Genomic DNA, 24,250 nt, shown 5'->3' with positions numbered 1-24,250 from the left:
TAAAAGGACGATAGTCCTCATTTAGACCCTATGAATAGGATTGAGGGAGAATAGCAGTTTCCCCCAATAGAAGGGGCAAGAAGGAAAAGACAGAACTTGGCTCAGATATGACCAGTAGGGGAAATCACTGTGGTCGGCCGCCTGAATTGGAATACAGGGTACAGTGAGCACCATGAACGGACTTTTGAGGAAAAGAGGGGCAAGAGATTTCCAAAAGGATTCCCACACTAGATCTCACTGTGCCAGACTACCATTCCAAGAGGCACAGGAAGCCTGATGTTAGCCAAACCACATCCTTCTCCTACTCAACTCCAGACACATAACCCCAAGGCTGCAGTGAAGACTAAAGGACAATTGCACCTAATTTACCAAACCTACCCATAAAATCCAAAGCACAGAACTATTCTGCAAGAACCATGCTGCCATCCAAAGCAAAGCTAAGCTCCAATTCTCATCTTCTCCTGTATTTGTTTCAGGATATTTTTCAGGCATTCTTTTCATCTTTCATTAAACTAGTAAGTTTTTTAGAATATGAATAATAAAAAATGCAAAATGTATCCAGTGTGATGGATGGCAATATATTTTAAAACATACATGTGCTGAAACTAAAGGTGACCCAAAAATGAGAAATCCACTCCAGGAGACAGTCTTCATCACTGGAGTCAGGCATTCAAATCACGTGTGGTATCTTGTGATGGTTGTTCACAGCAGAGAGCTGGAGGCGTTACTGACCTTTCTGTGGCATCCACAAGGGTTTACCACATTTTCTCAAACACAAATGCATCTCTGCACAGAAAATGAAACTTTCAAAGTCTTTTGGAGAAAAGAGCCTTTCTCAGCTGAATCTGCAGCTTAGAAGGGTGCTCATTAAACGAGAAAGGAGCAGGCATCTTGGAGTCCTCTTTTGGGGCAGATCAAATCAATCACTCCTGGCCTTCAAATAGAGATGAGGGATCCCATGACCAGATTTCTCACAGCCTATATGAGCTTTGAATGTCATTGCCAGCTGCCAGCCTTATGGATGTTTCCACACTGGCCAAATCCAATTGAAAATTTGATATAAACTATGTAGACACTAAAAGCAAATGCATTATTTGTCCCCCAAACCAGCTTATCTTCCTAACTTCTATAAAGTTCTCAAAAATACACTGTTCTCCCTGTTACCCAGACTTCAAATCTTGTCCTAATGTCTTCTTTCTCAGGCCCTGCATGTAGTCCCAAAGCTTGGCAATTCTTCCCCCTAGGTCCTTCTTGGCCTCACCTTTTTTCACATGCACGTGCACTGGCATGTCTTTAATACCCAGAATGGGGACTAGCAAACTACAACCTGAGAGCCAAATATGACCCACCACCTGTTTTGGGGAAATAAAATTTTGCTGGAACACAACCATACTCATTCATTTCTGTATTGTTTATGGCTGCTTTCACACTACAACAGCAAAGTTGAGTGGTTGAGCCAGACTGTTTGGCACTCAAAGCCTAAAATATGGGCTATCCAGCCCTTTATGGAAAATGTTTGCCAATACCTGTCTGAAACTGTTGCAATAAGTCTACCCAGCCTTAACTTCTTTCCAGTTCTCCCTACTTTTTAAAATATTCCCTACTCAAAACTCTATTCTGAATTATCAGTGAAGCTTATCAGTCATACACAGGCACACCCTGTTTAAAAAGTGTAAAAAGCTCCTCACTGCACTTAGAATAAATTCCCAGTACTCTGGCTGTAGGTGGTTGGATGGCTTCAACTTCTCGCATTGCGTCCCTCCTAACTCACTATACTCCAGCCTCACTGGTCTTTCTCATTTCCTTCAGGCATCAGACCCTTTTCCTCCAGGGCCTTACAACTACTGTCCTTTTTTTCATGCAATGCTCTTCCCTACCCACCTTCATCTGGTCACCAACTCTCATCCTTCAGATCTCCATTTCAATGTCACCTCCTTGGAGATAAGTCTACCCTTTCTCAAGAAGACTGCTGTCACTCTATTCTTTTTCTAGCACGCTGTTCTTTTTATGCATAGGAAGAAATTAAACACTTACTTGTTTGCTTCCTGGATTAATGTGTGTCACAATGATCATAATCTTGATCATAATCACTCCAAGAGGTCAAGGCTTGTGTGTCCATTTTATTTGCCTCTCCACATTCAGCACCTGTCAAATGTAAGCATTCAAAACATATTTTTATGAATGAGTGATCTTCCATTCATTCCCAAATAATATTTCTTCTTTGGCCCAACAATCAGGCTCTATCCTATTATCCAGTCCTAATTGTATGCCTCATTCCAGGTAAACTGAGATAATCATCATTTTGCAAATATACACTGTACTTTTTTACTTCTGAACTTTCTTGTCCCACCCCAATCCCACATCCTCTACCATTTTTGCTTAGGAAGATCTTTCCCTTCGAAGCTTAATTCAAACAATTATTCTAGGAAACTGTTTTAATGAAAATAGTTTGAATAGTGTAAAACCAAGGACATATTTTATAAGGATGCTTTCTAGAACAGTCTTCAATATAATTCCATGCCCTCATGTCCAACTATTCCAATAAAAGCATTTCTATGTGGGCCAGGCTATGATGCATTCCAAGTCTGATTCTACAATGGGATGAATTTAGGGACGCATTTTAGAGTGTGGATGGATAGATTATCATGGGTGTCCAATCTTTTGGCTTCCCTGGGCCACACTGGAAGAATTGTCTTGGGCCACACATAAAATACACTAACACTAACAATAGCTGATGAGCTTCCAAAAAATCACAAAAAAACTCATAATGTTTTAAGAAAGTTTATGAATTTGTGTTGGGCTACATTTAAAGCCATCCTAGGCCACATGTGGTCCATGGACCATGGGTTAGAAAAGTTTGGATTACATAGTCTTCTGGTTGTTTTTTGCTAATATTGTTTTTCTCAACTCCAGTTTTGAAAGTAACTGGGTACAAATGAGTACTGAAAGGTACTCATATTCTATGTTTCAGTTAAATTGAGCAAGGAACAGGATTGATAACCAGGTGTGAAATCTGAGGAGCCTGACTGATACTCATGCTTATAAGGAAGGCCACTCACTCCCTTTCAGTGGTAAGAGAGTATATCTTTATGTCAGTCATCATGAGGCACTGTACCTAGGATAAACCAACCTATCTACTGAGAGCATGTTTAGTTCATAATAATAAAACATTATTCACACAAAAGAGAAGGTTTCACTGTCTATTGCCTGTTGCTTGAGGGTCTAGATCCAGTTTATAAAAAGTGAAAGCAACATATTCCAAAAAAAAGCTAAAAAGCAGTGAAGCCACAACACGTCTGTTGTGTGTGCCTGCCCCCTCTTTTGTTTTATACATAATGAATGTAGCTTCAGATTTTAATTGCTTCTAAACTGCTTACTCAGAATGAGTTTATTGTTGGTTAGAACTCCTAGGATTTTTTTATATTGCTGCTAATCCACATCTTTCTGTTACTTACTTATGCAGTTGTTATATTAGGACCCAAGTATAGGAAGGAATATGAAGACACTTTAGTATACACACAAACCCACATTTTGTTCTCCCTCCTTAGCTTTATGTCAAGAGTGAATTTTATAGTTGTAGGCTCCATGGACTTATTCAATCCATTTATGACTCTGTTAAACCCAACAAGGGCCAAAGTAGCTTCAGTACACCTCTAACTGTTCCATTTAACATTCATTATGACCCAGTATCCTGAACAAGCTGTTTGTCGTCATATCTAGTTTTTTCACATGAAAACATTAAACAAACAATTCTGGGCTCCTATTAAGTACCAGGACACTTGTTAGGTACTAAGGATTCAACAATTTAAAAGGGGAAAAAAGCCCATTTCTAACCTCATGAAGTTTATAGTAAGGCCACAAGGATACCTAATAAGAGGTAACATTTATTGAATTAGGTACTATATGTGTATTATGCTATTTAATCCTCAAAAACGGAAAGAAAAAGAAAAACCCTGAAGAAGGTACTATGGCTTATACAGATGGAAAATGAAGTTTAAGGAGATTAAGTAACTTGACCAAGGACACACCTCTAGATAGTGGGGAGGTAGGAGTCAAACCCAGACGGTCTGGCTCCAAAATCAATACACTTAATACTTCTATTTAAGACCACCATGCTTATCTGCATAGGTTGTGTACCTCTTAACTCAGAGGAACACAGTTCAAATAAACTCCAACTTGCACAATCTCATATAGCAGTCTGAAACCCAGACACACCACCATATTTTCTTCACATGTGATTTTTCGACTCTTGTTCAAGTAAAAATCAAACACGAAGATGGAGGAAGATGAAATGGAAAAATTCCCAGAAAAACACAAACTACTAAAATTGACTCAAAAAGAAATAAAAAATCTGAATAGACTATTATAATAAATAAATAAATAGATGGACTTAGTTATTTTAAAACTACCCACAAAGAAAAGTTCAAGACCAGATGTCTTCACTGGTGAATTCTATGAAACATTTGAAGCATTAATACTAACTCTTCCAAAGAATAGAAGAGAACACTTTCCAAATTATTCTACAAGACCAAAAGCAGAAGCAATAAAAAAATAAACTGGAAATCTTTTGTGTTGCAGAGGATACCATTAAGAAAGTGAAAAGACAACACACAGAATGGGAGAAAATATTTACAAATTGTAATAAAAAGATAAGTAAGCCAATTCAAAAATGAGCACAGAATTTGAATAGCTATTTTCCCAAAGAAGACATACAAATGCACAACAGGCTTGTAAAAAAATGCTCAATATCATTATCAACCAGGAAAATGCAAATGAAAACCACAAATAAGATATTTCTTCATACCCACTAGGATGGCTATATCAAAAAGACAGACAATAACAAGCATTGGTGAAGATGTGGAGTATCTGGAATCCTCATACACTGCTGTTGAGAATATCAAATATCACTTTGGAAAACAGTCTGGCAGTTCCTGAAAAGATTAAATATAAAATTACCCAGCAGTTCCAGTCCTAGGTATATACTCATAAGAAATGAAAGCATATGTCCACACTCAAACATGTACATAAATGTTTATAGCAACATTGTTCATAGTAACCTAAAAGCAAAAGCAACCCAAATACCTATCAATGGATGAATAAATACTAATATGTCCAGATAGAGGAATATTATTTATTAATCAAAGAAATGCGGGAGTCGGTGCAGTGGCTCACACATGTAATCCCAGCACTTTTGAAGGCCAAGGCAGGAGGCTTGCTTGAGGCCAGAAGTTTGAGACCAGCCTGGGCAATATTGCAAAACCCCATCTCTATCCAAAAAAAAAAAAACAAAAACAGCAGGAATCCTATCCCAGATATTCGGGAGGATGATGTGGGAGGACTGCTTGAGCCCAGGAGTTCAAAGTTACAGTGAGCTATGATTGTGCCACTGCATTCCAGCCCAGGTGACAGCTAAGCCTTGTCTCTTAAAAAAAAAAAAAAAAAAAGGAAAGAAATGGAATAGTGATACATGATACAACACTGATGAACCTTAAAAAGTTTATGCTAAGTGAGAAAAGCCAGCCATAAAGGACCACGTATTATACATACTGTATGATTCCATTTATATAAGATGCCCAGACTAGGCAAGTCCACAGAGACAGAAAGTAGATTGGTGGTTGCCTAGGGCTGGAGAAAGTTGGGGGAAATGGGCAATGATGGCAAATGAATCAGGTTTCTTTTGGAGTTGACAAAAATGTTCTAAAATTGTGATGATGATTGCACACCTATGTGAATAAACTAAAAACAATTGTACATTGTAAATGGGTGAATTGTATGATATATGAATTACATCTTAATAAAGTTCTTACTAAAAATGACAGAGAGAGGGAGAGAGATCATTCTCTTTAAATATGGAATATTAATTAAACCACTCATTTATATCTCTTGAAAATCTCAATAAAATGGTGATAAAAATTTTTTAAAAGGCATAATCCAACATGTACAAATAATAGAGAGGAACAGACTACAAATACGGCAAAGGGAAGACGTCAACACCATTTTGGAAGCTGGAAAGAAGATATGTAAGTAACATAGTGACCTAACTGACCTGGGAAAGCTAAAGCCTGTGGGGGATGACAAGAGGGAGGCCTAATGGCACTGCAAAAAGCTCCAGAAAGTTTCCAAAATTAGAAGCATTAGTTACTTCTGAAGGCCAGGGTATGGGATGAGGCTAAAAATAGAAGTGTTGGTTCAAAGTTTACATGAGATGGAGTTAAATACCCCTTCTAAACCCATGGAGCTGGATTATGCATTCCACCCTCACCCCACTGCCTCAGCCAGAGACAGGTAGTTTTTTTGTTTGTTTGTTTTTTGTTTTTTGTTTTTGTGCTTTTCTGCAGAAGCCAGGCCTCAGACTGGGCTCAGGACTTGGGCTCTGGATTCAGGCACCAAAGGCACAGATGAGGGAGAGGTGAGATGTTCAACTGAAAACAAGGAAATCGAATCAAATGCTATGTATTGAAAGGTAAAGTATTAGAAATCTCATAGATGGTGGGCCCAAGCCAAGATGGCCGAATAGGAACAGCTCCAGTCTACAGCTCCCAGGGTGAGCAATGGAGACGATGAGTGATTTCTGCATTTCCAACTGAGGTACCAGGTTCATCTCACTGGGGATTGTCAGACAGTGGGTGCAGGACAGTGGGTGCAGTGCACTGAGTGTGAGCCGAAGAAGGGCAAGGCATCGCCTCACCTGGGAAGTGCAAGCAGTCAGGGAATTCCCTTTCCTGCCAAGGAAAGGGGTGACAGACGGCACCTGGAAAATCGGGTCACTCCCACCCTAATACTGCGCTTTTCCGATGGTCTTAGCAAATGGCACACCAGGAGATTATATCTCGCGCATGGCTCAGAGGGTCCTACGCCCACGGAGCCCCGCTCACTGCTAGCACAGCAGCCTGAGATAAAACTGCAAGGCGGCAGCAAGGCTGGGGGAGGGGCGTCCGCCACTGCTGAGCCTTGGGTAGGTAAACAAAGCAGCCAGGAAGCTCGAACTGGGTGGAGCCCACCACAGCTCAAGGAGGCCTGCCTGCCTCTGTAGACTCCACCTCTGGGGGCAGGGCATAGCTGAACAAAAGGCAGCAGAAACCTCTGCAGACTTAAAAGTCCCTGTCTGACAGCTTTGAAGAGAGTAGTGGTTCTCCCAGCACCCAGCTTGAGATCTGAGAACGGACAGACTGCCTCCTCAAGTGGGTCCCTGAACCCAGAGTAGCCTAAGTGAGAGGCACCCCCCAGTAGGGGCAGACTGATACCTCACACGGCTGGGTACTCCTCTGAGACAAAACTTCCAGAGGAACGATCAGGCAGCAACATTTGCTGTTCACCAATATTCGCTGTTCTGCAGCCACCGCTGCTGATACCCAGGCAAACAGGGTCTGCAGTGGACCTCCAGCAAATTACAACAGACCTGCAGCTGAGGGTCCTGACTGTTAGAAGGAAAACTAACAAACAGAAAGGACATCCACACCAAAACCCCACCTGTACGTCACCATCATCAAAGAACAAAGGTACATAAAACCACAAATATGGGGGAAAAACAGAGCAGAAAAACTGGAAATTCTAAAAATCAGAGTGCCTCTCCTCCTCCAAAGGAATGCAGCTCCTCACCAGCAACAGAACAAAGCTGGACAGAGAATGACTTTGATGAGTTGAGAGAAGAAGACTTCAGACAATCAAACTTCTCTCTGAGCTAAAGGAGTAAATTCGAACCCATGGCAAAGAACTTAAAAACCTTGAAAAAAGATTAGACGAATGGCTAACTAGAATAACCAATGCAGAGGAGTCCTTAAAGGACCTGATGGAGCTGAAAACCACGGCACGAGAACTACGTGACGAATGCATAAGCCTCAGTAGCCAATTCAATCAACCAGAAGAAAGGGTATCAGTGATGGAAGACCAAAGGAATGAAATGAAGTGAGAAGAGAAGTTTAGAGAAAAAAGAGTAAAAAGAAATGAACAAAGCCACCAAGAAATATGGGACTATGTGAAAAGACCATATCTATGTCTGATTGGTGTATCTGAAAGTGACGGGGAGAATGGAACCAAGTTGGAAAACACTCTGCAGGATATTATCCAGGAGAACTTCCCCAATCTAGCAAGGCAGGCCAACATTCAAATTCAGGAAATACAGAGAAAGCCACAAAGATACTCCTCGAGAAGAGCAACTCCAAGACACATAATTGTCCGATTCACCAAAGTTGAAATGAAGGAAAAAATGTTAAGGGCAGCCAGAGAGAAAGGTTGGGTTACTCACAAAGGCAAGCCCATCAGACTAACAGCTCATCTCTCAGTGGAAACTCTACAAGCCAGAAGAGAGTAGGGGCCAATATTCAACATTCTTAAAGAAAAGAATTTTCAAGCCAGAATTTCATATCCAGCCAAACTAAGCTTCATAAGTGAAGGAGAAATAAAATACTTTACAGACAAGCAAATGCTGAGAGATTTTGTCACCACCAGGCCTGCCCTAAAAGAGCTCCTAAAGGAAGCACTAAACACGGAAAGGAAAAACCAGTACTGGCCACTGCAAAAACATGCCAAATTGTAAAGACCATCGAGGCTAGGAAGAAACTGCATCAACTAATGAGCAAAATAAGCAGCTAACATCATAATGACAGGATAAAATTACACATAACAATATTAACCTTAAATGTAAATGGGCTAAATGCTCCAGTTCAAAGACACAGACTGGCAAATTGGATAAAGAGTCAAGACCCATCAGTGTGATGTACTCAGGAAACCCATCTCACGTGCAGAGACACATAGGCTCAAAATAAAGGCATGGAGCAAGATCTAACAAGCAAACGGAAAACAAAAAAAGGCAGGGGTTGCAATCCTAGTCTCTGATAAAACAGACTTGAAACCAACAAAGATCAAAAGAGACAAAGAAGGCCGTTACATAATGGTAAAGGGATCAATTCAACAAGAAAAGCTAACTATCCTAAATATATATGCACCCAATACAGGAGCACCCAGATTCATAAAGCAAGTCCTTAGACACCTACAAAGAGACTTAGACTCCCACACAATAATAATGGGAGACTTTAACACCCCACTGTCAACATTAGACAGATCAATAAGACAGAAAGTTAACAAGGATATCCAGGAATTGAAGTCAGCTCTGCACCAAGGGGACCTAATAGACACCTACAGAACTCTCCACCCCAAATCAACAGAATATACATTCTGCTCACCATGACCCCAAACCTATTCCAAAATTGACCACATAGTTGGAAGTAAAGCACTCCTCAGCAAATGTAGAAGATCAGAAATTATAACAAACTGTCTCTCAGACCACAGTGCAATCAAACTAGAACTCAGGATTAAGAAACTCACCCAAAACCGCTCAACGACATGGAAACTGAACAACCTGCTCCTGAATGACTACTGGGTACATAACGAAATGAAGGCAGAAATAAAGATGTTCTTTGAAACAAACGAGAACAAAGACACAACATACCAGAATCTCTGGGACACATTTATAGCAGTGTGTAGAGGGAAATTTATAGCGCTAAATGCCCACAAGAGAAAGCAGGAAAGATCTAAAATTGACACCTTAACATCACAATTAAAAGAACTATAGAAGCAAGAGCAAACACATTCAAAAGCTAGCAGAAGGCAAGAAATAACTAAGATCAGAGCAGAACTGAAGGAGATAGAGACACACAAAACCCTTCAAAAAATCCATGAATCCAGGAGCTGGTTTTTTGAAAAGATCAACAAAATTGATAGACCGCTAGCAAGACTAATAAAGAAGAAAAGAGAGAAGAATCAAATAGATGCAATAAAAAATGATAAAGGGGATATCACCACCGATCCCACAGAAATACAAACTACCATCAGAGAATACTATAAACACCTCTACACAAATAAACTAGAAAATCTAGAAGAACTGGATAAATTCCTCGACATATACACCCTCCCAAGACTAAACCAGGAGGAAGCTGAATCCCTGAAGAGACCAATAACAGGCTCTGAAATTGAGGCAATAATTAACAGCTTACCAACCAAAAAAAGTCCAGGACCAGACTGATTCACAGCTGAATTCTACCAGAGGTACAAGGAGGAGCTGGTACCATTCCTTCTGAAACTATTCCAATCAATAGAAAAAGAGGGAATCCTCCCTAACTCATTTTATGAGGCCAGCATCATCCTGATACCAAAGCCTGGCAGAGACACAACCAAAAAAGAGAATTTTAGACCAATATCCCTGATGAACATCGAAGCAAAAATCCTCAATAAAGTACTGGCAAACCGAATCCAGCAGCACATCAAAAACCTTATCCACCATGATCAAGTGGGCTTCATCCATGGGATGCAAGGCTGGTTCAACATACGCAAATCAATAAACGTAATCCAGCATATAAACAGAACCAATGACAAAAACCACATTATTATCTCAATAGATGCAGAAAAGGCCTTTGACAAAATTCAACAACCCTTCATGCTAAAAACTCTCAATAAATTAGGTATTGATGGGACGTATCTCAAAATAATAAGAGCTATTTATGACAAACCCACAGCCAATATCATACTGAATGAGCAAAAACTGGAAGCATTCCCTTTGAAAACCGGCACAAGACAGGGATGCCCTCTCTCACCACTCCTATTCAACATAGTGTTGGAACTTCTGGCCAGGGCAATCAGGCAGGAGAAGGAAATAAAGGGTATTCAATTAGGAAAAGAGGAAGTCAAATTGCCCTGTTTACAGATGACATGACTGTATATCTAGAAAACCCCATCGTCTCAGCCCAAAATCTCCTTAAGCTGATAAGCAACTTCAGCAAAGCCTCAGGATACAAAATCAATGTGCAAAAATCACGAGCATTCTTATACACCCATAACAGACAAACAGAGATCCAAATCATGAGTGAACACCCATTCACAATTGCTTCAAAGAGAATAAAATACCTAGGAATCCAACTTACAAGGGATGCAAAGGACCTCTTCAAGGAGAACTACAAACCACTGCTCCAGGAAATAAAAGAGGCTACCAACAAATGAAAGAACATTCCATGCTCATGGGTAGGAAGAATCAATATTGTGAAAATGGCCATACTGCCCAAGGTAATTTATAGATTCAATGCCATCCCCATCAAGCTGCCAATGACTTTCTTCACAGAATTGGAAAAAACTACCTTAAAGTTCATATGGAACCAAAAAAGAGCCTGCATTGCCAAGTCAATCCTAAGCCAAAAGAACAAAGCTGGAGGCATCAAGCTACCTGACTTCAAACTATACTACAAAGCTACAGTAACCAAAGCAGCATGGTACTGGTACCAAAACAGAGATATAGACCAATGGAACAGAATAGAGCCCTCAGAAATAATGCCACATATCTACAACTATCTGATCTTTGACAAACCTGACAAAAAGAAGAAATGGGGAAAGGATTCCCTATTTAATAAATGGTGCTGGGAAAACTGGCTAGCCATATGTAGAAAGCTGAAACTGGTTCCCTTCCTTACACCTTATACAGAAATTAATTCAAGATGGATTAAATGTCCAACCTAAAACCATAGAAACCCTAGAAAAAAACCTAGGCAATACCATTTCAGGACATAGGCATGGGCAAGGACTTCATGTCTAAAACACCAAAAGCAATGGCAACAAAAGCCAAAATTGACAAATGGGATCTAATTAAGCTAAAGAGCTTCTGCACAGCAAAAGAAACTACCATCAGAGTGAACACGCAACCTACAGAATGGGAGAAAATTTCTGCAATCTACTCATCTGACAAAGGGCTAATATCCAGAATCTACAAAGAACTCAAACAAATTTACAAGAAAAAAACAAACAACCCCATCAAAAAGTGGGTGAAGGATATGAACAGACACTTCTCAAAAGAAGACATTTATGCAGCCAAAAGACACATGAAAAAATGCTTATCATCACTGGCCATCAGAGAAATGCAAATCAAAATCGCAATGAAATACCATCTCACACCAGTTAGAATGGTGATCATTAAAAAGTCAGGAAACAACAGGTGCTGGAGAGGATGTGGAGAAATAAGAACACTTTTACATTGTTGGTGGGACTGTAAACTAGTTCAACCATTGTGGAAGTCAGTGTGGCCATTCCTCAGGGATCTAGAACTAGAAATACCATTTGACCCAGCCATCCCATTACTGGGCATATACCCGAAAGATTATAAATCATGCTGCTATAAAGATACACGCACACGTATGTTTATTGCAGCACTATTCACAATAGCAAAGACTTGGAACCAAGCCAAATGTCCAACAATGATAGACTGGATTAAGAAAATGTGGCACATATACACCATGGAATACTATGCAGCCATAAAAAATGATGAGTTCATGTCCTTTGTAGGGACATGGATGAAGCTGGAAACCATCATTCTCAGCAAACTATCGCAAGGACAAAAAACCAAACACCACATGTTCTCACTCATAGGTGGGAATTGAACAATGAGAACACATGGACACAGGAAGGGGAACATCACACACCAGGGCCTGTTGTAGGGGGGTGGGGGAGGGATAGCATTAGGAGATATACCTAATGTTAAATGACGAATTAATGGGTGCAGCACACCAACATGGCACATGTATACATATGTAACAAACCTGCACGTTGTGCACATGTACCCTAAAACTTATAATAATAAAAGAAAAAGAAATCTCATAGAAAGTAAAACAAAATGACAAAAAGGTGGGAAATAAGACAGCAAAAAATCAAGAAAATTGGAGGATTGATGGTCAAACATCAGGACAGCAAGGGTTCCAGGGAAGGAGGGGGTGGTGTGGAAAATGAGATCAGAGAACATGCAGGGAAACTATTATAAAAGAAATTATGCAAAAAATTTCTCAGAACTTAGAAAGAAGAATGTGTTTCTAAAATAGAAAGGACCTACCAGATGTCCTGCAAAATGCCCATCATTGTGAAATTTCATAACACTCACTGGGCTTCTGGAAAACAGTTCCTTCAAGGTTCTGAGGGAAATTCTGTTGAACACAGAATTCTATACTTAGCAAAATCATTAGTCAAGTGTGAGGGTAGAATATAGACAAGAAACAGGAAGTCATGTAATCCAAGAAGCCAGGGATAAAACACAGAAGTGAACCAAATTCCCAGGATGACGGTGAGGGGAGCCTCTGGGTAACAGCCAGGCTTCAGGGCCAGAGAAGGGTCAGAAATGATTGCAAGCAAGGTAGGAGGATTCCAAAAGGTTCATCTCAAAGGTGGCGGGCGGGGGCATTGGCGTTGGGGAGTGCAAGAGATTACTTGAACTTATAGAGGGGTGTTTTCAGCCTTCAGGAGTTTACAGATGGGCTATTCAAATAAACAGAAACAGTTCATAGCTCTAGGAAAAAACAAAGAACACTATAGGAAAAGGAGAGTAAATTTAAAAGTATGTAATTATAATTGTCGGGTCCTTCCAAGGAAACTGGTAAATCATTTTCTTATTTCTCACCCAAGTTTTAAACAAATTGGCAAATAAATCAGAAAATTTAGATGAAGGACAAAACCTCACCCTTATTTCCCTCTAGTGATAAAGGCTTCACTAGCTTCCACTATGTGAGATTAGAGTGAGAAGATGGCTGTCTGTTAGGAAGTGGACCCTCACCAGAACTCCAAATCTGCCAGTGCCTTGATCTTGGACTTCCCAACCTCTAGACCTGTGAGAAATAAATTTCTGTTGTCTATTAAAAAGAAAAAGGCCTATTTGGCTAATGTAGTTTAGGTATGAGAACCAAATGAGCCTTGAATCTCAGAATTAGGCAGATTCCCACTGCTCCCCAAACTCCCTGCCCAAGCCAAGACAAGGCTGGACTTTCCCTGCCTAGATGGAGCAGCAAGGAACACTCTCCCCTTGCTATTAAATAGCTTCCAGAGAGCAGAAGGAAAAAGGGGTGATCCAAATTCACTAACCAGATTAAGCCACTCTTCCTTCCCTAAAGAGAAGCAAATGAATTAATGAGTAAAGGCGCAGAGAGATCACAGAAATGTTTAGCAGAAATCCCACCTCATGGAAGAAAATATCATGAGTTCCCTCCTGACATTAATGATGCAAATATGAAGCGTGATCTCACTAGAAATTATAATATAGTAATGTAAGATAGGGCAGAGAATGCAGGCATGTACGATAGGGGTGGCATAAGTGTTAAATCCTCATCCTCAGAGCAGAAATTCAATAGATAGTTAAAATGGAAAATCCAGAAATGACAGTAACATATATTATTTGGCAATATGTAGCGAAGGAAATAGCTAAAAACAGCTATCTATAAGACTTGAGAATGGCAGCCTTTGGGGAAAAGGAGTCTGAGGTGGGAAGATGCGAAGCAGGGACCTCCTGCCCATTTCATATTAAAACCTATTTGTAGTGCTGTTGTGTTGTTGGACTTTGAAAACTTTGGATTAGATTGGATCATATAAAATTGCCAATATTTGCTTATTTGTGGCCTAAAAAATGGCAATTTCATATGGTTCATATAGTTCAGCCTAAAATTTTTACAAAGTGACTTTAAAAAAATGTTTTTAATGAAAGGAAAAGGAGCCCAGCCCTTGGGATACCTTCTCTGCTTCCTTTCTCTTTAGTCTAGTTTGTGTGCCTCCCTGAGGCACATTATCTCTACTAACGAACCCATACCTATCTGATGTTTCCATAGCATTGCAATCATTAGTGATCGTGTCTTCCCTCCACTAGTTGAGATTATGTTGAGGGGAGGCCCTGTTTATTATGCCAGGGTGCCCACCACAGCAGCAGGCACATAGTAGGCCGTCAGGATTTTCTGAATGAGTAAATGATGGCACAGTTACGAACCCTCACTGGGTGCTTGGATTGGTTGCTTCCTTTCCCAGGTGTTTATTATACAATAACCTTTTAAGACTTAGGGCTATTACCCTATTATCTTAGGATTTCACCCAGCATCTACACCAAGCTCACTAACTTGCAATGTGCAGAATATGCCTTATTCTGTCTCGCTCTCGCTCTCTCTTTTAGGAAAAGTTTCAAAAGAGAAACACATTTTCCCATTCCTGGATTTGCAGCCCCTTGCCATGGCTCACAGTGCAAGTTCTCTCATAGGCTGGGGTGTTCTGTATCTGCACCAGGAGGACTGACCTCCCAAAGGAACTCTGGAGGCCCAGTAATTGAGCAGCTCTGCTCTCAAGCTCCAGATCAGATGGCCTGAGGATAAATTGTGTGCCGCCTTCCTTTCCCCTTATTACAGGGAACGTAAACAAATACTTTCATCTCTCTCTCTCTGAGGTTCCTAATACCTAAATAAGATAGTGCCTAAAACCATAGTTACTGTATAGATTAAATGAGATAATATATGTAAAATATTGAATGTAGGAAGCATTCTAATGTGTAGCTGTTACTAGCTGACATGGCTTTTTTTCAGTCTGAACTTCCATTCCCTTTTATTAACATTTGTTCTATGCTTTCAATTCGAAAATCATTCTTTGTTGCAAAAAATGAAGATGAACAGAAGTAAAGGAGCGCATTTATATTATTGGTCAGCATGCAAGAATCTCTCCAAAGAAGCAGGCCCGTTCCCTACCCCCTCTTGTGGGGATTACTCTAAAAATAATTTTCTGAGTTTTGTTGCCCCGAGCATTTCTTACAAGCTCATGGAAATGAGAGGCTATATAATACTGTTCTCATAAGCCTTCCTCTTATCACTGGCCAAGCACTCCTTCCTGTTTCTTTTCTAAGTATTCGCTGGAAATCAGAGTTCAACAGAGAAAAACATGTGTAGCCGCCCTGGCTTCCCTAAGCACCCATTTAATTACTGCTTGTGTTAGGCCGTTCTTGCTTTGCTATAAAGGAACACAGGAGACTGGGTAATTTATAAAGAAAAGAGGTTTCATTGGCTCACAATTCTGCAGACTGTACAGGAAGCATGGCAGATGCTTGGCTTCTGAGGAGGCCTCAGGGACCTTACACTTATGGTAGAAGGCAAAGGAGGAGCCGACATATCACATGGTGAGAGCAGGGGCAAGAGAGAGAGAGTGGAAGGTGCCACACACTTTTTATTTATTTTATTATTTATTTATTGAGACAGTATCCCTCTGTCACCCAGGCTCACACTTTTAAACAACTGGATCTCATACGAACTCACTCATCACCAAGGGGATGGCACTAAGCAATTCATGAGGGATACACCCCCATGATTCAAACTCCTCCCACCAGGTCCCACCTCCAACACTGGGATTACATTTCAACCTGAGGTTTGGCAGGGACACAGATCCAAACCGTATCACTCCTTATTGGGTGTATTTGCAGTTGTGGAGTCAGAGCACTGTGGTTTTGAGAGCTCCCCATCCTTCACGCACACTCTTCCCTCTAAGTGCCCACTTTGCTCTGAATGCTAGAACCCAGGTCTATGCCTCACCAGTCCCATCTTTCTTCCCTGATATTACTGCCTTGGGAAGCCATGATCAATTCTCATAATGTTCTTCCCACTCATCACCCTCTCTTGGTTAGAATTAGATCTAAGCCAGGCCTGGTGGCTCACGCCTGTAATCCCAGCACTTTTGGAGGCCGAGGCAGGCGGATCACGAGGTCAGGAGATCGAGATCACCCTGGCTAACAAGGTGAAACCCCGTCTCTACTAAAAAATACAAAAAATTAGCTAGGTGTGGTGACATGCACCTATAGTCCCAGCTACTTGGGAGGCTGAGGCTGGAGAATCGCTTGAATCTGGGAGGCGGAGGTTGCAGTGAGCCGAGATCGCGCCACTGCACTCCAGCCTGGGCAACAGTGGGAGACTCCATCTCAAAAAAAAAAAAAAGAATTAGATCTAAAGCAGCAGTTCTGCTGGTTACTTTCTAAATAAGCAGGTAAACAGCAAATAATCAGAGAAAATCCTATTGTCCTGAAGGCGTCTGTGGGAACTTACAGTACAAATGAATAAACATCACTTCCCATGCAAAGGAGCAACGCTAATTATGAGGCTTTCTAACAATCTGTCAAGTCAGCCAGAGAGGTGTTCTGTTTGGCCCTGGATAACTTCTTGGTGACCTTTATATCATTATGTTTTGCCAAATGGCTACTTCATCTAAGTGAGGACCATCTTGGTGAGGAGAGGATATAAATGTCCGCATTACCTAACTGGAGAGAGTTGATGAATCCCTTCTCCTCTCTGAGCCCGTTTCTCATCTGTAACATGAGGGTGTTGAACTGGTTGGTCTCAAAGATCTCAGCCATTTGAAAGTTTTCGGATTTTAAGTATAAACAGAGGGTTTCTTTTGATATCTAGTGTCTGTGCTAGTGTTAAAACAAAGTAGTATATCAAAGAAGCATATTTGAGTTCAAATAAAATTTTTCTAGTCTTATGCAAAATGTAAACTTCCCATCTTTTTTCATGTTTTCTTTTACATCATCTTCATCACATTCTTTTTTGCAGTGGGAACGCCTATCAATTCTGTTTTTTAATCTATGTTCTATTTCCCCAGTAGATGGCACCCCATTACAACTTTCAATTACTTTCTGACTACAAATTCAGTGCAACCAGCCCAGAAAATCAATGCAGACTGAAGAGAATGTGGGAGTATTTGTTCATCAAAAACAGATAAATAAGCAAAAATTTACACTGGGCACCTAACATATGCATCTATTTTTTTAAAATTTAAACCTCTAATTTAAAATTTAAATTAAAATTTAGAAAAATCTAAATTAAATTTAAACATTTTTCTAGTTTAAATTTTAGAAAAATTGATGCATATTTTTGATGCATGCCTAATATAAAGTTTAGAAAATTTAAATTTAAATTAGGTTCTAAAATAAGGTATAAGAAAGTAATTAGAATGTTTTTATACAAACATGTCAGACTACCATGTGTTAGCCTGAGTGCTACCCCTCAAAATGACAAATGTTTGAGATTATGGATGATCAAGTTGATTCATTTACATTGCTATTTTTAAAAACATTTAGAAAACCATTTTCTGGAAAAAACTCCCAGGATCAATTTCTGGCTTATATGACAAAACCTGTCTCGATGCCTCCTTTCTGACAATTCCTCCTCTGTAGCATCCAATTCCTTGATAATCCTTACATTCAAGAAAATTTTTCCCTTCTTGGAAAGGCTATTTTCAAACATTCTATACTTAATGAAGTTTGGCCATCTACTTTTAAGTATTTTGGACAGAATACAACTCAGTGACTTATAACCATAGTTTCAGCCCACGTGTTCTGTCTCTGCTGGCTTCCTTTGCCACGATGAGTAGAACATGCCCCGTGTTACAGGTAAATTAATTCTGGTACACTGGTAAGCAAAGAAACCAGTAACTGAGATGGGAAAGGACCCTAGCATTGGGAATTATGAGCCCTAACAAATTTTAATTTACCTTCTGAGAAAAGTAAGAAGGTGAGCAAATATCTTGCCAGTCTCTCATGAAGAACTAGCCCCTGCTTCAAGCCTGGCAGTGAGTTAGGAACTCCAGTCCTACTTATACAGGGTCCAGGATTGGGCTTGCTGCCCTTAGCCCAGGTGCAGCATTCCTGGGAAAGAAGTACCCACCTGAGATCCTTGGAGCAAGAAAGAATCACCCTCCAATCTCTACGTGAATGCATTCTTATTCCCCTACTGGAAGGAAAGCCCTGCCCTGAACTGTTTCTCAGGTGAATCCACCCTTGTTCTTTAAATATTACCGGCACACCCTCCATCTACAGTGCACTGAGGGAATGAACAAACATGCAGCACCCAGCCCAAACAGTAGTCCCCATCTCAAATCTAATTAACCTGTCCATGACTGCTCTCATCTCCTCACATGTTGAGTTCCATGACCTTTATACCCCCACTCTTGAAATCTACCTCAAGCCCTGCTTACTATGGTGACCTTCCTTCCCCACTGACGCTAGATTCCATACGCTTCTGAGTTTGGGTACCCTGGCTTCTCCAGATAAGAGACGGGCCTCCGCAGCCCCTATCCCCACCTTTCCTAGCTCTCTGATCTCTGCTGGGAGAAAGGATTAACACTTGGTTCTGATCCCCTCATTTCTCACAGCTGACATCTTGAATGGTAGAGAACTTCAATGAGTTTGGCATTATACTCTAAAGCCACTATTAACCCTGAAGATCAGTTGCATGATCTTCTAGACTTCCAGGTACATGAGCAATTTAATTTCCTAGTTGCTTAATCCAGTTTGAATTGGGTCTTCAACTCCCTCTGGTGGTAGAATCCTCACCCACAGGCCACCACACAAAGCTAGAGCTCTGAAGTTTGGCTAGTTTACAGGCACAGCTTAGTGGCTTCCCAAGCACGTAAGAATATATAAGAATGCATGTTTTAATTGTGGGGGACCTATGCCATCTGACTCCCAGGTTGGGTTTCCCTGGGGAAGTCCTCACTTACTCTGAAAGACTTTAATCTTAACCTCTAATATGTTTTCTCCACAGACTGAAAATCCTCTATCATGAGAATTTGCCGAATACAATGACAATGACAATTCAGTCAATAGCCTATATTTCTATAGTACTATTTAAGTTTTTCTTTTTCCTAATACTTATTGAATATTTACTATGTGCTTGTCCCTATTCTAAGCACCTTTCTTATATTACCTTAATACTTAAAACAACTCTATGAGGTTGATAATTATTATCCCCATTCTTTAGAAGAAAAGATTGTCATATGGCATCTCATATGCTCCAAGCCAGAGAGAACAACAGATATTCATCTCTCAGATTCATCTACACAAGTTTGTGAATCAAATGAGCCTGTTGGGCCCATAGAGAGGAATCAGGGTGACTTCAGCGGCCCAGACATGTTTGTTATTTTTTTCAGGAGATAAAGCACCCAAGAGGATTGTTAGACCTGTCAGAAAAATATAACCCAGAATCACACAGAAATCTCAAATCTGAACTTTTAGGAGTTTAATTGGTAACACATGGTTAAGAGCCAGCTTCCAAACACACTTAAGATTACAGAAGAGAAAGGATCTAGAGATGTACGTGACATCTGAGATAGGCCAACTGCGATCTTGCAGTAGGGTGACCCACTGTCCCAGTTTGCCTATGATTGAGGGGTTTCCCAGGCCATAGGACTTTCAGTGCTAATGATAGGAAGGTATTCAGCCTTAGCCTTGACCCCACACCTAATCCACTCCCCAGTTATTTATCTGGGCAACATTGGCCTCTCCTATAAGGAGTCAGGCCTGAGATTTAGGAGATCTAGAACTTGGTACTAACTGTTCAGCCCCATGAGCCTCAGTTTTTGCAGATTAAAATAGGAGTAATCCCTGCCCTTAACCACCTCCTAGATATTTGGACTCCTCAAAACATTTTCATAAACCCATGAGGAAGACTGCTGTGATCCTAAGAACCTCTTTCTATACAACATTGCCCTTGACTGTGTTTAAAAATAGGCCCCATGGTTTCAAATTTTAAATTTTAAATATTTAATTTAAAATGTTTTAAATTTAATTTTAAAATTTAAAATTTAAAAACAAGGCCGGGCATGGTGGCTCACACCTGCAATCCCTGCATTTTGGGAGGCTGAGGTGGGTGGATCACCTGAGGTCAGCAGTTCGAAACCAGCCTGGCCAAAATGATGAAACCCCGTATCTACTGAAAATACAAAAAGGTAGCCGGGCGTGGTGGCAGGCACCTGTAATCCCAGCTACTCAGGAGGCTGAGCCAGGATAATCGCTTGAACCCAAGAGGCAGAGGTTGCAGTGAGCCGAGATCACGCCACTGCACTCCAGCCTGGGCAACAAGAACGAAACTCTGTCTTAAAAGAAAAAAAAAAAAAAGCCAGGCATGGTAGCTCACGCCTGTAATCCCAGCACTTTGGGAGGCCAAGGTGGGCAGATCATCTGAGGTCAGAAATTTGAGACCAGCCTAAACAACATGGTGAAACTCTGTCTCTACTAAAAATTCAAAAATTAGCTGGGCGTGGTGGTGCACACCTGTGATCCCAGCTACTTGGGAGGCTGACGCACGAAAATTGCTTGAACCCGAGAGATGGAGGTTGCAGGGAGCTGAAATTGCACCACTGCCCTCCGGCCCAGGTAACTGAATGAGATTCCATCTCAAAAAAAAAAAAAAAAAAAAGACAAAAAGCAGACAATGCTAACACAGACAAGCAAAGCAATTAGAAAGATTTAGATAAATAGTTTGAGCTATTTAAAAAAAAAAAGAAGAAGAAGAAGTACTTTTTAAAACTGCTTCCCAGACTTCAGTTGTATTCACAACTCTAGTCTAGACCCAACCAGTGCTACAGCATTAAGAAACCACACACACACACACACAAAAAAAAACCCATCATTTGGTATTTTTTTAAATGATGATGATTGGTACTCCAAGAGACACAGGTAGCGGAGACATCACTGTGTAAGAAATTGCGAAAGAAGTCCAGGCAATTCCAGTTTTCTAGTATCAGTAAAAACAATCCTCGTCTCTTGCTCAGCATTTTCCCCAGAAGCATCTGAGTCAGCCCTTTGGTCCTCCAGAGGTCTGGCTTTGTTCTGGTGCTCACATTCTGAGGTTCAGAGATAGGTATCCCAATGGGAAGGGTCTGCATTCAAGCAATGAGACAAGCTTTCTAAATAAACACTCTTTATACCCTCTGATGCCTCTTTCATTTCCTCTGCCTCCCAAATTTTCTCTCTAGGATAAAATGCATTCAATCTTTTTAAATAAAGAACATCTGCTTAACCCTGCCCAAAAGAAACTTCCACTGCCCTATTTATTTTAATAGCCATGTGATCTACCAATGAACACGAACAGCAGAAATTAAACAGAGGAAATCTCTCCCCAGTCATGCTTTATCCATTAAGCATGTGTGAATCTGTGATGATCTCGGCTTTCCTTGTGCACAATGACTAATTGAGTTTGAGACAGTGGCTGTCACAAGCTGAAAAAGGCATGATTTATGCTATGGAAATTTTTAGTTTCTGACATCTTCAGCTTTATAGGGAATAAAAGAAGTCATTACTGTATCAGGATTGTGACAACAGGCAGTTTCTAACAATGGAATTACCCGCCTACAGCTAGCCAGTCTATTAATTGAAAGCATCGAGTTTCTATCTTTGCTTTCACCTGCTGCTCCTGGGCAGATGATCCTGCAGATTTTCCATTTGCATTTATTTCAGCTGCACCATTTATTACATTCCCGTTTATCCTTCCCTGAGATCTTATTGACGCTGCCACTGGGAACCATGGCAATAAGTGATAGCTTCAGTGAAGAACCAGCTGCCAGACCTGGCCCACTGTTCAGATGATGTATGCCCCATCCTGGCCCCTCTCTGAAGCAGCTACTCAGGAACATCCTGGTTACCCACAGAGGAATCACATTTCCAGCCCATAACTTGATTACCATTGCTTTCACTTGAGACTGCAAAATGGCAGTAGGTGAATGAAAATTTCTGGCTGATGTGTGTGAACTGGGTGCGTAATATTGCCCTCTTGAAAAAATAAAACAAACACAGAAGGATAGAAGGACAGAGTTGGGGAGGTAAGACAGACTTAATTGTTTTAATAAACGCAGGGTGCACAAGTCAGAACTGAATCTATGTCAACCTGTAAGCCTTAAAAATAGCAATAACATTTAAATGCTGAATTCTGGTGACTACACATTTGCTTGACTGCTTTATCACAGGGATGATGTAATCAACCAGCAAGGTCTGAGACCCTGGCATGGATCACAATGCAGAGACATCTGCCTTTTTGTGACATTGCTTCCTTGGATCTTTTGCTTCCCCTGGAAATTGTCTCTGATGGATCCAAGAATATCATCACAGTGCTTGCATCTGCAGTTTCCTCTAAGCTCCATTGCTCTCCTACAATCAGTCCTGCCTCAGGTAACATTGACAGAGCACCCTCTTGTCAGCTTACCCTCCTGCTCCTCCAGTCCATCTCATGGTCCTGCCCTTCTCCACTCCCTGCCTGAGTTGTTGCTCACAGTCCAGAACACTGACTCGTGCAAGGTCTTCTGATAACACGCTATTAGAAAGGCCTTCAGTGATATGCATGGAAATGGAGGCAAAATGCCCCCAAGGGTTTAGATCCCCAGGAGTGAGGAATTCAAAGTACAGGTATTCACATCTCAGGGGAACCATGGGCAACACAGCAATTTTGATCTCACCTCCCCTCTCTTTCATGTTCTACCCTGCCTGTCCCTCATTGGGGGTTCAATATCTTCCAACTTTCTACACAATTCTGCAGCCCCTCTCAATATTGTTTGCTTCCCCATGAAGGGGCTCATTCTTTTCTCTTTCCCCAACAACCTGGCTCAGGACATCCACCAGCAAGAATCATGCAGAGAGCAGGCTGTGGCTCTGAGCTATAAGAGATAGAAACTCAACTCAAATGCAAAAGGAATTTGCATAAATGAGAAGTTGAAGAGGCAAACCAACTCCAGGAATAGCTGGATCCAGGGGCTTAACGGTGTCTTCAGAAATCCCTCAATTTCTCAGCTCTGCCTTTCTGGTCTCGGCTTCATTTTAAGGTACACTCTTCCTATGTGATGGCAAAGAGAACCACCAGCAGCTCTAGGTTTACCTAATCCTTACAGCTTGTGGTTCTAGTGAAACAAGCAGATCCATTTTCCCAATAATTCCAATAAAAATCTCAGGGCAGGCTCCGGTTGGCCTAACTTAATCATGTATCCTCTCTGAAACATTTGCTATACCCAGGTGGACTGTGTATTCTAATTAGTTAGCCTTGGGTCATATATCTACCCTAAAACACATGGGATGGGCTCCCTGCTGAAACAGGGGTTGTATGACTAGGAGAAGGAAGATTAAGGGACATGCTGGACAAACATAACTATGGTTATAATAACAGTCCACTACACAGATTAAAATGCCTCTGCCCAGATTAGTAGGTCTGAGAAATTTCCAGCATTAGTAACAAGAAAGTAGGAATCAGGAATTATTCTTATCATGTTTCTTACACGTGGCTATTGAACTCCCTCAAAATATAATGTGTGGAATATTCATATCAGAATTATCCCTGCTAAGGCAACATTCCTTAAAACAATGGTGTTCAAATTTGATTTTAAGCACCAGGACTTTCCTCAAATAAATTGTATGTAAAATTCCAATACATAAAATGGATAAAAGTGAGTGGTTCTATTGACAGCTGAGAGCTGGAGGTTATGAAGAGTAGAGGGGCAGACACAGACATGGGAACTCAGCCCTGTCTCATTTGCTGGCCCCTCGGGTAACATCCCTGGAACCCCTGGGGCTTCTGAAAGTTAAGTTTCCACATATGAATTTTCGGGGGACAAAGACATTTAGTCCATAACATTTATCATGTACTTATATTAGAGATTTAATAAGCAGTATAAAGTC

General features: G+C 40.8%; 1 long non-coding RNA gene across 1 annotated transcript in view; it reads right to left on the bottom strand.

Annotated features, from left to right (window-relative positions):
- Positions 1–24,250, bottom strand: part of LOC105374690 (uncharacterized) — a 231,734-nt gene that overhangs the window by 27,783 nt on the left and 179,701 nt on the right. The window contains exon 6 of the long non-coding RNA XR_940109.3: positions 2,035–2,145. This is a non-coding gene — a long non-coding RNA (uncharacterized LOC105374690). The remainder of the gene's footprint in view (positions 1–2,034; positions 2,146–24,250) is intronic.

This window comes from Homo sapiens, chromosome 2, assembly GCF_000001405.40.
Source record: "Homo sapiens chromosome 2, GRCh38.p14 Primary Assembly".
In the NCBI taxonomy this organism is placed as follows: Eukaryota; Metazoa; Chordata; class Mammalia; order Primates; family Hominidae; genus Homo; species Homo sapiens.
The sequence above is the reverse complement of the archived record's forward strand: the minus strand, read 5'-3'. Positions and strand labels throughout refer to the sequence as shown.